This window comes from Homo sapiens, chromosome 18 (genome assembly GCF_000001405.40).
Source record: "Homo sapiens chromosome 18, GRCh38.p14 Primary Assembly".
Lineage (NCBI taxonomy): Eukaryota > Metazoa > Chordata > Mammalia > Primates > Hominidae > Homo > Homo sapiens.
This window is the reverse complement of record NC_000018.10, coordinates 45,069,071-45,087,599: the sequence shown is the minus strand read 5'-3', so window position 1 is coordinate 45,087,599 and position 18,529 is coordinate 45,069,071. Positions and strand designations below refer to the sequence as shown.

The window sequence follows — 18,529 nt, the reverse complement described above, 5'->3', positions numbered from 1 at the left end:
CAACTTTTATTAGCTTTTAATATCTATTTATATAAATAAACCCTTTCTAATATTTATTTATGCAAATAAAGCAAATGCATATATATAAATAGATACATATTATTATTTATCTTTTTCTTTTATGAAATGGTGACTCCCAAGGTTTTAAATGTCTTGTTAATTATCATATGATTATTAGATTATGTTTCAAGGCAGTTCATATGCTCAGGATATGATCTGAAGGAGTAGTCTAGTGTTAATCGTGGTAGACGTAAACACGCGTTTGGAACAGAGTTCTCAAGGACTTAAAACGTGTTTTAGCCTCCTTATCAGATGTCTTTAGGTTCTTGTTACTTAGGCTATTGTTATTGTTTAGGTTATTGTTATTACTTTGTACTGGAGCTGATGAAGGTCATATAGTGGGATAAGACCTGGGGAAATGACGATTCTATTTTATCTTGTTGTTTACTCATACGTTTCCTCATCTCTTCAACTAGCAAGAGTTTTTGAAGCAGCAAATTGTTTAAACCAGTTATTTATGTGTGGAGGCTGGTTTAAATAGTTCAAATAGTATAACCTCAAATCCACTTAAGTGCAGTATGTCTCAGGCTCCTAATGCCAATAGATGCCTAGAGGGGGCCATCTTCTGGTATGTGCTACCTCCTTTTCTTGTAAAGACCTCACCTGCCCTGATCTATATGTTAGCTCTATCAGTAAAGATTAACTTTTCTTACTTTTTAGGAAAACACATTCAGAGAAGTTCTAGTATTTCCTTCCCAGAGTCCTGGGGCGTGTATACTCCCTCTTGAAGACTGTGCTGTCGGCAGCAGTGAGCCACTGAAGGTTAGTCAGAAAGTGGCAGGCTTTTGAGGAGCTCCAGTGTTACAAAGATTTGCTGCTCAGACAGGCATGAGTTTTAGCAGGAGGTAAGAGGACTGGCGAGAGGTTGTTAGAACACATTGGGCAAGAGGTGGCAAGGCAGTTGTGGTGCAGGGGAGGAGAAAGAGCCAGGTGAAGTTTTAGGAGGGTGAACCTTCAGGAATTACCGAGCTTGGATTTGAGCAATAAGGAGGACTCCTGTCAGGAATGTTTGCATTTTAAGAGACGTTGCCTGGGAGAATTGCAGACTATCTTCAGGGCAAGAGAAGATGTATTTTAGGCAGAGTAGGGTTACATCATCCTGTTTGCAGTCACCTGTGTCTGTGTGCAGGAACCCTGCTGTTCCCCTTGCAGGAGCTTCCTAGATGTCTTGGGGGCTTAGGGCTCTTTGTCTTTCAAGGACTCTCCTTGGAAGGCTGTCCTGGAAGTCCAGCTCTCAGAATAGTCATTACCTGAAACTCACTGGGGGAGGGCAAGCCATTTTCACCAAGGGAGAGCCATTGAGTAAGAAGAAGGGGTTCCTTGGGAATTGGAGGATTGTTTCACTACTCGTTCCATACTGCCAGGGCCATTCTCTGCCAGGTTGGAGGGAGAATCAATGTACAAGGCCAAAAAAAAAAAAAAAAAAAACAGGATATGAGTCAATTGTTCCCTTCTTCCCATTTAATCATATACCTGTGAAACTGTAGTGTTCTAAAAGAGAAATGATAGAGGTGATAAAAAAAATGGCTATAGTGATGCAGCATCGCCCTCCCATCCAGGGCCCTATGTAATGGACCATCTGTGAGTGCAAGAATCGGTTTTGTTCACTGTGGTGTTCTCAGTACCTACAAAGAACTGCCTGAGATTCAGAAGGCCATCAATAGACATTGTTATAGAAGTAAATCAATGACTGAATGACTGAAGTCCGTCTGTATAGATGTTCATCTCTCTCCTTTGGCATTTCCTAAGACAATGTCTTCACTGTGTCTGTCCTATGATGGTATTTTGCACTGTTTGACAATTATATTAAGAGCAAGTTCTCCTTGTCCTGTAATAAAATAGTTTTTGTTTACTTGCCAGTGAACAATTCTAATTCTAATCCTGATCTGTGGTCTTGAGTTTTTATTGGAGGCACTCGGGACAAAGCCACCTGCTACTCCACATGACAAACCTTTGCATCCTTGAAGATAGTTATTTTCCCACTGAGATGTTTCTACAGTCCAGTGCCAGCTGGGTTATTCAGCCATTCCTCTGAGATATGATGTGGTTTCTAGATTCTTCACCTTGTCGTCCGTCCCTTTGATTGGCATATCTGGTAATAGTTGCAGGGCTAGTGGCCATAGTCATAGTAGGTGTATCTGTAGCCACATACTTAGTACCCCAGGCTTCTTAGTAATGTTTTCTGCTTGAATAGCAGTGAATAAAGTACTTTCAAAGACAGTGTCTGACTTAACTCTCAAGGTAACACCAGGAGGTAGATACTATGGTCTCTCATTTTATAGAAGAAGGAACTGAACATAATTCTTGCCTAAGGTCTCACACCAGAGGACCTGCAGTTCAGCCCCTTGCTGGCACAATGTTTGTGTGTGTGTGTTTTAAATGCTTCGCCAAACCAGAACTCGGTACCTTGCTGGCATAATGTGTTTTTTGTGTGTGCTTTAAAAATGTGTCGCCAAACATCAAATACTCGATGTGTGGCCAGAAACACCACAAATATTGATGAGAAAAGAAGCAGAAAAGGGGGCAGTACCAAGATACCATTGCTGTGGGTGTGGGAGTGTGTGAAGGGGCCTGGGCTAGGTGTCTGGCTTACGAGTGTCCCCACTTCTCTCTTTCCTCTTCCTTCCCTCTTCCTCTATGCCGGGCCCCAGACTTTCCTTCCTCTGGTAGTTACGGAAGAGCCTTCAAAGTGGGCTGGCTGGGGAGTCACTTGCCAGTGACTTGCTACAAATTCCTCAGGTCTGACCTGGCCCCCTCCTGGGCCCTGGTTTCATCCCAATTCCACTCTGCAAGCAGCCACTCTGTGTTAATCCCTGGGCCACACATCTCTGGGTCTCCTTCTGGAAAATTCAAGCCATGAATTTATAATACATATTTCAGTTCACTCAAACATAGCACTGTGCAGTATTGGGCAGCTTGTATTTTCTTCCAAAATTCTGAAAGGCAAGAGCTTTAGAAGCATAAATCACATCTGACCTCACTGGCTGGCCCATCCTACCTGCGCTGGGAGAAGTCAAACCCCAGTGGCGCCGGATGTTCAAAGACACAATGTTCTCTTGTGATGAGGGTTTCAAAGCGTCCCTTTCCTGGAATGGGGGTAGGCGACCCGAACGGGGCTGCTGGAAAAGGCCCTCAGGATTTATGAGCCTGCCGAGACTCAGCGCGCTTGCTTGTGTAACAAGAGGAAGACAGAACATCCTGTCACCACATCAGGTTCTTATGCACCAGGCCTTCTGGAAATGTTTTCTCAGCCTTGGAATCGAAGGCAGATGGAGTTAAGTTGCTTTGGTTCACTTGCGCCACCTTCTCCCCTTCTCAAACGCCATTCAAATCCAGTGAACCCAGAAGGGGCATGAAGGAGAAAGAGCACAAAACTAATAGACACTTTCTGAGGCACAGCCCACATAAAGGCCTTTCTGATCGCTCCTCCTTTACCCCAGGCTGCTCCTCCAGTAGCCCAGCTGCTCCATCAGTCCATCAACGAATCAATCAACAAATGCATGTTGATCATGTACTAATGGGCATGGTGGCCCTAGGTAGGAGGGACAGAAAAAAGTGCTCAGCAGAGGCTCTTTCCTTGGAGGTGCTCCCCTCAGACTTCAGCAGACACTCAACACAGCTGACAGCAATGAGAAACAGTTCATTATTAATCAGGGCTAGATGATCTGACCTCACAGCCTAAATGCTCCAGCGGGGCAGAAGGGCAACTGCTTCCATCTGGCAGAACACAGGTTAGGGTGGGATTCTAGAGGCCAGGAGGCTTTCACGGGACTGGAAGCCTGGACACAATTGAAACATTAAGGGGTTAGTGAGACCAGTCTAAATAAATACCAGCTTATGCAAGGAACGAGAAGCCCGCATGATTGAGGGATGCCGAAGAATGGTGTCCTGGCTTGGAAGAAAAGTGACTGAGTTGGAAGGTTATATTGTTTCCTCTCAGGAGCTGAGTAAAATGCTGCAAGGCAAATTTCATAATGAGCTGAATTACGTTAATATAATCTGTGTTTCAACTTTCTAGGGACCCATGATTTGTGTTAGTCTACAGGTCAGCACCCTTTTTGTGCAAAGGGCCAGATAGTAAATGTTTCAGGCTTTCTGGGCTATACGATCTCTTGTGCAACTATTCAAGTCTGTCATGTCACAAATGCAGCTGCAGATAATATGTAAATGAATAAGTAAGCCCGTGTTCAAATAAAGCTTTACTGATGGACACTGAAATTTGAATTTCATGTAACTTTCATGTGACATAAAAATATTATTCTTCTTCTGATTTTTTTCCCCCAACCACTTGAAAATATAAAAACCATTGGCTTGTGGGCCACACAAAATAGCAGGCTGGATTTGGCCCAGGGGCCGATGTTTATCAGCCTCTGGTCTGGTAGGAACAGTATCACATTCATGTCGGAAAAAGAGAGGAGAGAAAGAGGGGAAAAAATATCATTTATTAAGTGCTGACATCTACTTCTATCTGAGTTTAAACTCGTTTGCTCTTTGCTTGCTTCACATATTTAGTGATTCTTGAAAATAACATTTCTTAAACATATGTTTAAAAGGTGTACTTTTTTTTTACGTTAAGCCATACTAATGGTCATTCACAGCCACGCTGATTTGTGAATTCTTTATCTCAACTGTCTTAGACATCATTGACTATATTTTCCTTGAGGGCCAGCACCTGTTTTATGATCAGTGTATTTATATTGGTTCACAAAGACTTTTTTTTTTTGGAGTATACCTACAGTAATTTCCTGTTGTGTAGAATCAGCAAATTTCAGAGCATTGTATGTGCAAGGTACTAGGTATAAAAGGGAGCACATAATCAAAATAGAAGACTTGGCCCATAAACCACAAACCAATCTCTCTAGAATTTTGAATCCTGGTTTATTGTTTTTAAAATGTATCATAAATGCTAAGCAATTTCAGCCCAATTTTCTTTCTTTTTAACATTATGATCCCCTTCTATTTATTCACTTACATTCCCCATTGACCCCTCTCCTTCTTCCTTCTGTGGCACTTTACCTCACTAGCCAATCGTGTCTCCTCTCTGTTCCATAATTCTGTGTGGATGACTCTTTTTTTTTTTTTTTTTTTGAGAAAGAGTCTCTGTCACCCAGGCTGGGGTAGTGCAGTGAGTGGTTCCATCTTGGCTCATCACAACCTCCACCTCCTGGGTTCAAGAGATTCTCGCACCTTAGCCTCCCATGTAGCTGGGATTACAGGCACCCGCCACCACACCCGGCTAATTTCTGTGTTTTTAATAGAGATGAGGTTTCACCATGTTGGCCAGGCTGGTCTCGAACTCCTGGCCTCAAGTGATCTGCCCGCCTCAGCCTCCCAAGGTGCTAGGATTACAGGCGTGAGCCACCATGTCCGCTCCTGTGCATAAACCTTAACCACATATTTGCTTGTATTTTCATCCCCCACCCCACCCACTTCCCTGCATTTTTGGCACATGCCAGGGAATGCCTCACCTTTGCAAAGGTTCTCAAGCTCAGTGAGACAGAACAGTCACACCACACGTGAAGCAAAACAAATTTTTCACTCACAGATAAGAACAAATAGAAGCCTAGGATCCCTGGGGAGCCAGACTCCAGGCTCTGGCAAGTTGCCCCAGGCGAATGGAGTTCTGTCTGCACATGCTGTATGTTTCACTGCAGCTGAGGGCCCCAGAAAGCACTCTGCTCTTGGGTTTTATACCCCGGGTGTCTCTTGGTTTGCTGAGCCCAAGTGTTGCAGAGCATCCTGTTTTACGAGGGATGAGGGCAGAGACTGTGTTGCCCTGGACACTTCCTCTTTATTTCAGGATGTCACATTCTTAGAACGTTCTACAGTTATTCTGAGAAATAAGAGCTGGAGGAAGGAGAGCTGGATTGGCCAGGGCCATCTGTAGACCTGTCTGCCTACATTCTTTACTTTTTCAGGCAGTCCATATCTACTCTTTAAGGTCAAACTCAGTTCCTATCTACATCTAGATATATTATTTTTCTCTCCTTAACTCTGCCAATGTGGGTAGTCTGGCCCATTTATTTTGTGTGGCATATCTACAATTAAACTTGGAAAGACCCTTAACTTGTGATCAGAGATGGGCTCTAGGCCGTCTTAACATCTACCAGCATGTAGCACATGGTCAAGCCTTGAGAATATGCTTAATAGTCAAATCCTCATGTCATTTAAAATGACATAAGAGAAGTTAGGAACCATAGAAAGGATGGAAAGAGAAGGTTCAAATAAAAGTGGGTGAGGGAAACAGAGCCAAGAAATCCTAGAAAGCAAACCAACATTTTTCACACCACAGGGAAACGACAGAAGATGGAGTGCTGCAAAATTAGAAAAACTATCTTGGACACTGTCTCTTTCTAAAAGTTTAGGAAAACTAATTTCAAATAAAAATTAGAAACAGAAAAGTATCAACTTCTAAATCCTATAAAAGTTATTAAAAGGAAAAGACAAAGGGCTAATATCCAGAATCTACAATGAACTCAAACAAATTTACAAGAAAAAAACAAACAACCCCATCAAAAAGTGGGCGAAGGACATGAACAGACACTTCTCAAAAGAAGACATTTATGCAGCCAAAAAACACATGAAGAAATGCTCATCATCACTGGCCATCAGAGAAATGCAAATCAAAACCACTATGAGATATCATCTCACACCAGTTAGAATGGCAATCATTAAAAAGTCAGGAAACAACAGGTGCTGGAGAGGATGTGGAGAAATAGGAACACTTTTACACTGTTGGTGGGACTGTAAACTAGTTCAACCATTGTGGAAGTCAGTGTGGCGATTCCTCAGGGATCTAGAACTAGAAATACCATTTGACCCAGCCATCCCATTAATGGGTATATACCCAAATGAGTATAAATCATGCTGCTATAAAGACACATGCACACGTATGTTTATTGCGGCACTATTCACAATAGCAAAGACTTGGAACCAACCCAAATGTCCAACAATGATAGACTGGATTAAGAAAATGTGGCACATATACACCATGGAATACTATGCAGCCATAAAAAATGATGAGTTCATGTCCTTTGTAGGGACATGGATGAAATTGGAAACCATCATTCTCAGTAAACTATCGCAAGAACAAAAAACCAAACACCGCATATTCTCACTCATAGGTGGGAATTGAACAATGAGATCACATGGACACAGGAAGGGGAATATCACACTCTGGGGACTGTGGTGGGGTCGGGGGAGGGGGGAGGGATAGCATTGGGAGATATACCTAATGCTAGATGACACGTTAGTGGGTGCAGCGCACCAGCATGGCACATGTATACATATGTAACTAACCTGCACAATGTGCACATGTACCCTAAAACTTAGAGTATAATAAAAAAAAAAATTAAAAATAAAAAAAAAAAAGAAAAGAGAAAAAGAGACAGAATTAAAAACATATCAATAACTTATGCCCACAAATCAAAATTCTAATTCACTGTTTCAAAATGAGGCAAAAGATATATGAAAATAATAAGAGACATGAAATAATAGCATAATTTATAATTAGGAAAACTCAGAAATAAAGTGACAGAAGACAGGAGAAATTGAAAATGCAGTTGGCCCTTGAACAACATCGGGGTTGGGGTGCCGAGAGCCTCACGGTCAAAAATCTGTGTATAACTTTTGACTCCCCCTTCAACTTAACTAGTAATAGCCTACTGTTGACTGGAAGCCTTACCAATAATATAAACAATTAACACGTATTTTGTATGTCATACGTATTATATACTGTATTCTTATGATAAAGTTAGAGAAAAAATATTACTAAGAAAATTGTAGGGAAGAAAAAATCTATTTACTATTCACTGAGTGGAAGTGAATCATCATAAAGTCCTTTATCTTCATCATCTTCACGTTGAGGATCCTAAGGAGTAGGGCTGTGAGAGATAACTTTTTACTGCGATATGCAATTTACTGGAGCGATGAACTGTTCATACGGTGATGATTAGTGTCATACGACATTTTAAGTGGATACTTGCAAAACTTGGGCTCACTACAATAGCAATAGGAGGTGACTATGAAATTATTATAGTAGGCTATCCTGTACTATAGTCAATTTTATGCAGTTATGATTTCATGCTGCATCTTTACATTTGTTTATATTTCCCTTGACTGTGAATAGTGTTGTGTATGGTCTATAAGTGTGCATAAGATTTGATGAGTTTTAACTTCTTATAATGGATTCGTGTATATTTTATGATAGCAAGTGATAAAATAGACTAGTATCTGCATATGTTTTATGCATTCATAATATATATTTTTGTCTTTTTTGATATCTCTAGGCTACTTGGTTCACCTGTCAGTTTTTGCAAATTGTCACAAATCTCCAAAAAAGTTTCCAATACACTTATTGAAAAACATCTGCATATAAGTAAACTGGCACAGTTCAAGTTCATGCTGTTCAAGGGTCAACTGTATATAAAAATATAATGTCAAAGATGAAGATGAAACCAGTAGGAATACAAGAGTGAATAAACTCAACAGAAAATACCTGAAGAGAAATAGAAGGTTGAATGGAGGAGAATTTTTAAAATTAAAAACAAATGTGGGGGAAAGGGTGAAAAGAACTTAAGATTCTTAACAGTGACTAAAATTGAAGCCACACGAAGAAGATCCCTAAAGGTAACAGAAATCCCTGAAGAAGAAAATCAACACAAGAAAAGGGAATAAATACTAAAATACTTGATTCAGGAAAATGTTCCTTAACAAATATTGAATCAGTTATCTAAAGAGACCATTAACCAAACCAAAATATATTCTAGTAAAACTATTGGATTTTAAGAAAAAAGAAAATATACTTTGTGTATCTAAACAGAAAGAACAAGTGACATAAGGGAAAGAAAATTAGATTATAATTAGGTTTTTCAAAAGCAGCATTTCATGCCAAATGAGAATGGAGGAACCTATTTAAAATACTTAAGGAAAGAAGTTGTGTGCCAAGGATTTTATATTCAACCAATGGACTTTCAAGTATAAAGGGTACAACTCTTATTAACATGCAAGAACTCAGGAAGCTTTATTCCAATGAGCGTTTTCTTAGGGATTTGCTTGAGCATGAGTTTCAGGCAACCAACATGACTTGAAGCATTGACATAAGTCTGGTTGTGAGCACTAAATAGTTACTTTTAGAACTAAGATTAAATGTGTGTTGAAAGGGAGCAGATAGATATGCTCATTATGTTCTGAAAATGTAGATACAGAACAACTATAAAAATGGGAAAAGGCGGAAAACATATGCTATTTTTCTATGTTTTTAGTAATCATATTGATAATTGTATTATGGCTGTTTCACTTTTTTATGGTTGTTTTTAAATTACGGTTGTTTATATCTTGTGTATATGATGTGGAGTAAATGAACCAAAAATAATATGTTTTTCTTTTGATTCTTTTAGAAGATACAGATGTAAGTTTTAGTTAAAACTTTTACAATTGAAGTACAAAAATTTAAAATAAATTTGAATTAGAAATATCAGTATGAATATACACATACACACATTCATACTGATATTTATAATTCAAATTTATTTCAGATTATATTTCTATGTATCTATCTATCATCATCTATCTATCTATCTATCTATCTATCTATCTATCATCTATCTATCTATCTATCCATCCATTCCTAGGGTCCAAATTGTGGTCTTGAAATACCATTTCCCAGTTAAAAAATGAAATAAGTATTCTTGAAAAGATGGCTCATTTCAGGTCTAACAGAAAAATCATAAGATGAGCTTAGAGTGTCTTGTAACATCATATATCCAAGAAGTCACCAAAGCTTACCAGATTATAAAAAACAGCTGGGATTATGGAAAAACGACTTAGGAACCAACTTGAATAGACTCCAATGTGCCACACATGGACGAATTTAAGCTTCAATAATGACAGTAATTACAATGATTGAAACCCTGCAAACATGGCTAAGCCCATGAGTTCAAGATGAGATTAAAATGAAAATTCTAGTTGGTCATCTTTGGAGGACCACAGGGAATATATGATCTTGAAAATTAAAGAAAGAATCAAATATTTATCCTGCTCTTCCTGTGAGTTGTACCAAGAGGTAATCAAAGAGTTGACAAGGGGAAGCATCTCTTTATAAAAGCATACCAATTAATGAAAACATAATAATGTTAAAACATCATCACTTTGCAATCTCTCATAAATTAATAGACCTAGGCATTAAAACATCAATGGCTGTGAACGTCACAGAGAAAGAACCAGACATATGTACTACTTGATGTAAGAACACAATGCCACCTATAATCGTGCTAAAGGGATCAACCCTGCGTTTGATTCTATCTCTAGATCCAGGCAATTTTCAAGGAATTCTGAGGACAGAAGAGGGAGCATATTGAACTGCATCTTGAGTATGCATTCAGCAGTATCTACACTGGGGCAACCCTACAGGTCAAATAGTCTATGTTCTTCAACAGGTACATATCAGGAAAAGTAAGGAATGTCGGGGAGACGTAGATTCAGAGACTTAAAAGACATAACACATTTTAAAAGTGAGCAAGACTAACCATTGATGTCCAGGAATTCACTTGGATGATAAAACCATGATCATAAAAAACACATGAAAGCAAGTAACGAGAGAGCCTACCTTTGAAGGGAGGGCTGGGCTGGGATACGATGAGGTACATGGAGGGGCTTCTGGGGTAGTTTGATACGTTCTATTTCTTGACTTGAGTGGTGCTTATTAAAGGTTTACCTTATAATTCATAAAACCACATTTTGTATGGTTTGTACATTGATATTTTATTTTACAATGTAAGGATTTTAAAATAAAATATGTCCCCAAAGATGCAGAGAGTTCAGAGAGCCCTTGAGGGCTTTGTGATTATTTCTAAACATGCACATTTCCCTGGTCCCCCTGGGCAGAACCTTATAGCTTCCTAAGCCAAAGGCTTTGGCTCTGGCAGAATGAGAAGCAAAGCCTTTTCCCTAGCTTTGTGTCATCCCTACTCTACCTCAGCCTGGATCTAGATGTGTGTTTGCCTGGATGTGTGTGGGAAGGTGAGAGAGAGATGGTGGTGGTGATAAAGGGTACAACGGAAAGTATGGAAGCATGGACATAAATTGCTGAACTGAGGAATAAGTATATTTTAGAAGTTTGAGTCAAGGTGATAGTAAACTATTAGGCCTGAAAATACAGGCTCTATTATGATTGTCACAGATATTTCAGGGAAATAAATAACAAATCTGTCTTGGGGTACAGTGATGACATTCACAAGGCATTGGCAGTCCCCTTGCATTCTTACTGAAGAAATCTCTAAGATTCTCCTTGGTGACCACATGCCCATATCACTTCTTTTGGTGCCATTTGCTTTCTGCTGCACTTCTTCACTTTCCTTCACCCTCTCCAAGGTAAAGAGCTCCTTTCTGACCTCCTAACTCATTATTGTTTTCCTTCCCTAACCTCTCAGGACACGGGCATGCTGGACATTGTGGGATTTGGGGAATACTGAGAAATGTGGTAGAGTAGGGAAAGAATCAGATGGGGGAGTCCAGGCCTCAGACTCCAGCCTGGGAGCCACTGATAATTGATAAGCCATGTGAGTAGTGCAGGTTCACTTTATGTCCTTGTGCTTCAGTTTTTTCCATTATAAACTGAGGGACTTCAGCTATAAGCTTTCTAAGGTTCCTTCCAAAATCACAGTGTGTTATTAATTGAAAAGCTCTTTGGCATCACGAAAAGGTAACGAATGACCATATGAGATGTTACCAAGATTACTTTGCATTGTAGAAAAGTATTTGACTATGAATGTACTGAGTTCTAGTCCCAGCTATGCCCTTTATAGGTGTGTATTTCAAAAACAATTCACTTTATCTTGATAACCCTGTTCTGTCTCTCACACTAAAATGTGAGTAACGTCAACGTTTCAGGGGTACTTTTTGACTTAAAGTGTAAATAGAAAGACAAATTACAGACTGAAAAAAAATTTGCAAGTCACATGTACAACAAAAGCTTTATATTTAGCATATATAAAAAATTATCAAAAGCAGTGTTTCAAAATCAAACAATCCTATTAGAAAATGAGTGAAATATATGCCAAAACATTTCACTGTAGAGGTTGTGCTAATGGCAAAAAACAAAACAATTAAAGAAAAAAACTGCATGATAACTTCTTCATCATCATTGGCCATTATAGAAATGCAAATTTAAACTACATGAGTTATTACTACTACTATGGTCCAAATGGTTGTGTTTCCCCTGTAAATTTATATGTAAAAATCCTAACCCCCAAGATGATGGTGTTAGGAGGTGGGGCCTTTTGGGAAGAGATTAGGTCATAAGGTTGGAGGTCTTATGAATAGAATGAGTGTTCTTATAAAGGAGGCCTATTTCCCCCTTCCACCACATGAGGATACAGCAAGAAGGCGCCATCCATGAACCGGAAAGTGAGGCCTTTACCAGACAATGAATCAGCTAGTGTCTTGATCTTGGACTTACCAGGCCCGAGAACTGTGAGAAATGAATGTTATTTATAAATCATCCAGTTTGTGCTATTTTGTAATAGCCACCTGAATGGACTAAGGCAACTACATATCTATCAGAATGATTAAGATAAAAAATAGTATTAACATCAAATACTGATGAGGATGCAGAGAAGTTGGATCATTCATACACTGCTGGTAGGAATGTAAGATGGTATAACTACCCTGGAGAATAGTTTGGCAGTTCCCTTCAAAACTAAAAATGGACTTAACATATAGCCCAGAAATTACAGTTAGGGGAAATTTTCCAAGGAAATAAAATTTTATTTTCCCATAAGTCCTTGTATATGAATGTTCATAGGAGCTTTATTTAAAAGAGCTCCAAAATCAATACTGCCCAAATGTCCTTGAATGAATGAAGAGTCAAACAAACCCTGGTACTGCCATGGTATGGAATACTACTCAATAATAAAAAGAAACCAACTATGGGTACCCACAACAACTTGGGGAACCTCAAGAAATTATGCTAAGTAAGAAAAGGATAGATATGTGTCAACTGTTCTGATACTGCTATACTGGAATTAAATACTTACTTAAGTAAATAAATGGCAGATGGTAAGATTTGCGTTTTTCATTATCAAGTGGGAGAGTATAGCTAAGCAAAGGGAGGAGGTTAGAATGATCCATGGGGTAATAGATTAGAGTTAGAGGTAGCAGTTTAGACTCATGTTTATAACATGAGTCTAAATGAATACATATAGAAATGAACACATATAGAAATATTCATAGATCTGTGGTGAATATACATGAGGTAGTATACACACATGTATTTCCTTGCTGTGTCAGCTGAGAGGGCCTAGAAGCAATAATACTCTAGTAGGAACAAGCATACCTGGCACTCAGAACTTGGTTTCTAACACCCTTCTCCCATAAAAAGAATCAGAGCTCTTAGAGAAATGACTAATTCTAGGACTGTCCCAGCATACACACAAAATGATGCTCCTTTGGTATGAGAAAGTAAAACAAAACAAATAAAACTAAAAACCCCACCGTAATGATGGGAGTATGTCAAAGGGACCCAGGAATCCACAGAAAAAGCTTTCAATGGCCATATCTTTACTAAGTTGAGCAACAAAATAGTGTTGGAATATAACCCAAAATATAAAACAGGTGTCCATGAGTCTATACCAATATAAATAAATCATCAAGTAAATGAATAAATGAAGGATAAGAGACAAGCCTCCTAAAGGACAAATACTATATGATTCTACTTATCTGAGGTATCCAGAGTAGTCAAACTCATGGAGACAGAAGGAGAAAATTGTGGTTTCCAGGGGCTGGGGAGATGGGGAAATGGGGAGTTGTTTCATGGGTATAGAGTTTCAGTTTTGCAAGATGAAAAAGTTCTGGAGATTGGTTACACAATCTCCAGTGAATATAATTAACACTACTGAACTATACACTAAAATGGTTAAGATGATAAATTTTATGTTATGTGTATTTTACTACAACTTAATATTTCTCCAAATGTTTTCAAAATGGCATAATTGGAAAAACTGGTGAAATGCAGTCTGCAGTGAGGCTAATAGTATTGTACCGCAGTTAATTTCTTAGTTTTGATCATTGTACTATGGTTATATAAGATGTTAACATCAGAGGAAGCTGGGTGAGGCATTAAATAGAATTCTGTACTGTTTTTGCATCTTCTCTGTAAGTCTAAAATTATTTCAAAATCAAAAGTGTTAAAAACCCAAATCTCCTGTGCATAAGAATTCCAAATAATTTATGTATAAATGCAGACCTTGAGGAGGTGGTGCATAACTCCACATTTCTTAAGTGTGGGCTCCATAAAGTGACTTCCTTCCAAAGAATACAGTTTCAAAATGGAGAGGGCCGGGTGCAGTGGCACATACCTGTAGTCTCAGTGATTTGGGAGGCCGAAGTGGGAGGATTGCTTGAGGCCAGAAATTCAAGACCATTCTGGGCTCCTGTTGTAGAACAGCCTGCTCCTCTTTCTACAAAAACTAAAAAAAATTAGCCAGGTGTGTTGGTGCACACCTGTAATCCCAGCTACTTGGGAGGCTGAGGCAGAAGCATCACTTGAGCACAGGAGTTTGAGGCTGCAGTGAGCTATGATTGTACCACTGTCCTCTACCCTGGGCAACAGAGTAATACCCCATCTCTTAAAAAAAAGAAAAAAGAGAAAAGAAGAGTAACTTTACAGTGGATAAACTGAGCAGATACTACCTCAGCCAGGTGATCAAGGTTAACATCAACAATGATGCATCATATTGATAGTAGGTACCCCTGATAGGAAGTGAGGACAATCACACCTTTGTGGTCTTCCTCCCCAAAGCATATGACCCCATTCTAATCGCGAGAAAATCATCAGGCAAACCCAATGGTGGGATATTCAACAAAATATCTGACCAGTGTTCCTCAAAACTGTCAAGGACATCACAAATATGGAAAGTCTGAAAAACTGATATAGCCGAGAGAAGCCTAAGGAGGCATGAGGATTAAATAAAATATGGTATCCTGGGTGGAAACTAAAAAAGGACATTGGCTAAAAACTAAGGGCATCTGAATATAGTGTGGACATTATTAATAATGATGTAATGATATTGTTTCATTAATTGTAACAAACAAACGTACCATACTATTGTACGAAGTTAATACTAAGGGAAACTAGGTGCAGGGTTCATGGGAACTTTCTGTACTATCTTCATAACTTTTTCTAAATCTAAAACTTTTCTAAAAATAGACTTTATTTTTAAAAGGATACATATTGCATGATTCCATTATGCAGTATGTATGATCTTGAAATAACAAAATTGTAGAGATAGAGCAGGCATTCGTGGTTGCTAGGGGTTAAGGATGATGAGGGGAACTCAAAGGGAGGTTGCCACAGTGAAAGCTCTGCGGCTACGGTGCAATTGAATATCTTGACTGTGGTGGCTGTTTCACAAGACTATACATGTGACAAAATTGCACAGATCTCTACACATACAACCACACTCACAAATACACACACATAAATGAAATCATGTACATCTGGTGAAATCTGAATAAGCTCTATGGATTGTGCCAATATCAATGTTTTGATTTTTATATTGTACTGTGGTTGTGTGGGACATTGGCATGGGATGCGGAGAGTTGGGAGACACTTGCATAGGACTCAGTATATTCTTTAGCAACCTCCTGTGACTCTGTAATTATGTAAAAATAAAAATTTTAAAAGTCTTTGAAAAATTGAAGACTTTGTGAGATGTCAGATGCCAGCATCTTAGTAAACTGTACTCACTAGGATGTGCCATTGAACCTAGCTGACTCATTTGTGCAGGGCTGTTTTCCGGTGTCATTATTTTCTTCCCACTTCTCCTGGCAGACAGCTGGGGCAATTGTTAAGTTTGGAAATGGATTCTGGAGTCTTCTAGAGTATGGAGTATTGCTGACTATAATGGTGGTGGTAGGATTTCCTGGATTTGTGAGTGGCTATTGAGGTCTTGAGGCAAGGGCAGCATGGACAGTTTGAGTGGGAAGGAGAGGCAGATACCATTCTGCTAGGAGTTTATTCTGCTTTACAAAGACACACAGTAGATCTTGAATTTTTTTTAAAGGGTTTTGTTCTCACAAAAGAAATTTTGTGAAAATGAGAAAAAGATGCCCACTCAGGGTGGGCACCACACCAAGGGAGCAGATCTTGGCAAGATAAGTACAGGCTGGATTTTAGCCCTAATTTTTTCAGCCAAGTCCCCTTGTGCAGGGAGCAATTGGTGCAACCTTATATGACAGCCCTGGTTGACAATTATACTCTGTCATATGTGGAATTATTAAGGGCAGTTACCAAATGAGTGGTACAGGAGATAAAGAGGTGTTTCTGGACTGTGGCCGTAAGATTTCCTGGAGAAGGTGAAGTTGGAATTAAACCTTAAAAGTAGGTAGAATTTGGATAGGCAGAGAACGTATAGAGAATATTCATTATCTAGGAATGTTTGCTTGAATAAAATTCAACGAGGTCTTGTCTTTCTTGCTCATTCTTCCATCTTTGGTACCTGGCAATGTGCAAGCAGGGAAGGAAAGAAGGGAGAAAGGAATGAAGGGAGGGAAGAAGGAAGGAAAGATTTAACTGTATGTCATCATTATATTTTTTTCATTAACTTCTTTCATACTACCACATTGTATTGCTGGCTTTACACAATGGTGGGAATAAAGTTGGAAATCAAAGATAGGTTCTGTTGGGAAGGTACAAAGATGACAGAATCAGAGATTTTTGACTTGAAGAACCTTGGAGACACCATTGAGAGTTTAACCTCCCATCTTATAAAGTAGGCAGATGAGACTCAAAGAACTTTTGCTCTTGGATACAGAGTCTTTAGTGACCAAGCAGGAACATATTCCATGTCACTTGACCCTTATTCCAGTGCTCGGTCCCCTAAAAAGTAGAGAATTAAGCTTTAAAATATCAAGCTTTTTATAATGAGAGGATGTAGTTTCCAACTCTTTTGAGGTTTTAACACTTATCATTTGTTACTTCCCAATCTTCCCATATGTGAATGTAACACTTTGGAACTAGTTTTTTCTTTAATTAATCCAAAATGAAAGCCCTTATGACACTTTAGAAAAGTGCATTACCATGCTTTATAATGATTTAAAACTGGGTGTTGGCATTTCCATAAAAGTGAAAATGTTAGTAATAAGGAATGGAAATGCACACACCACTGTTTTGCACCTACCCACTCCCTTTCATAGCCATTTGTTATTTCATCTGACCTGTAAAGAGTCTTTTTATGACTGTGGGCAAATCCTTTAGCCCTGAGCATCCCATTGTCCTCACTCCCTATTGCATGTGTGACAGGTTAAATTTTTCCACGTGGCAATTGATTTCCAGCATCCTCACTATTCTAGTAGTTGCCTCTTCCCAGTACAGGCAGCGAGGTTGGTTTGTGCTTATCCCCTCAGGGCATGTTTCTGACAGCAGAAAGCAGGGAAAACATGAAAAATACTTTCTTTCTGGCTTCAAATGTCTAGAAACTTGGGAAATAGAAAGGAATTGGGCACAGAGAAACAATTTGGAAGAAAGTTGGAGCCAGGCTTTCCAGGATCCCTCCTTCCTTCCCCTTTGGATTAGAAAAATGATTCCCTGGCTCTGCAAGTAAGATTCTGCTATATGTTGGTGGAATGGAGCCTTACAAATTAATAAATATTGAGCTGGAGAAAAATTAAAAAGTATATATTCCTCCCATCCATCAATTTGTAGACTGAGATTTGCACCAGCCACATGTGTGGATACATCCAACTTTCCTGAGAATCTTTGTCAGCACATTGCTCCGCTATGGACTGTTTAAAAACTTTAGAGTTGAGCCAATCCATTCCTAGGCAACAGCTTTGTCCCTGCATGAGAAGCTTGTAGGAAGAGATTAGGGCCACTCTCAGAAGTCATTGCTGATTTCAGAAGTATCAATGGAATTAATGAGCCCAAGTTAGAATGATGACTATAGAATGCTTTAAATTGTCCTAGTTCAGTGCAAGATAGTGGGAGGAGGAGAGGAGAAAGAAGGCAAGTCCTATTCTACTAGAGGTGGCTGACCAAATTCTCTGAGTCTCAGGAGACGAGCTGAGGTAGGAGTGCTTCACTCCTCCTGCAACGGCTCCCTAATACTCTACTCCTGAAGACTTCCATTGACGTCTATAATTCTACTGCAGGTGCTGCAAATACCGAAAGTCACAGTGGATGTTATGCTGGGTCAGATTGATGGCTAGGAGTGGGGAGCAGCTCATAACATTTCCTGACTATCTTGTTGGCTTTTGGAAGACGCACGTCCAAAGGTAAGACAAAGAAAGAAGGCAAAAAATATATAAATGCCTGTATGTTCACATACAATTAAAGTATAATGTGCAAAGTGCTTAAGACAGGCTTTTAAAACCCACTTATAAATACAAACTAAAAAGTGGAACAGAATGGGTAGAAAAAACAGGCAGGAAAGCAGTAAAGACTCCTTTTGAGACCCCATCACTCTTTCACAGC

At 39.2% G+C, this 18,529-nt stretch overlaps 1 long non-coding RNA gene across 1 annotated transcript in view; it reads left to right on the top strand.

The window, feature by feature from the left end:
* The window catches only part of LOC105372091 (uncharacterized), an 87,209-nt gene extending 68,885 nt beyond the window's left edge, over nucleotides 1-18,324 (top strand). The window contains exon 4 of the long non-coding RNA XR_007066349.1: nucleotides 18,208-18,324. This is a non-coding gene — a long non-coding RNA (uncharacterized LOC105372091). The remainder of the gene's footprint in view (nucleotides 1-18,207) is intronic.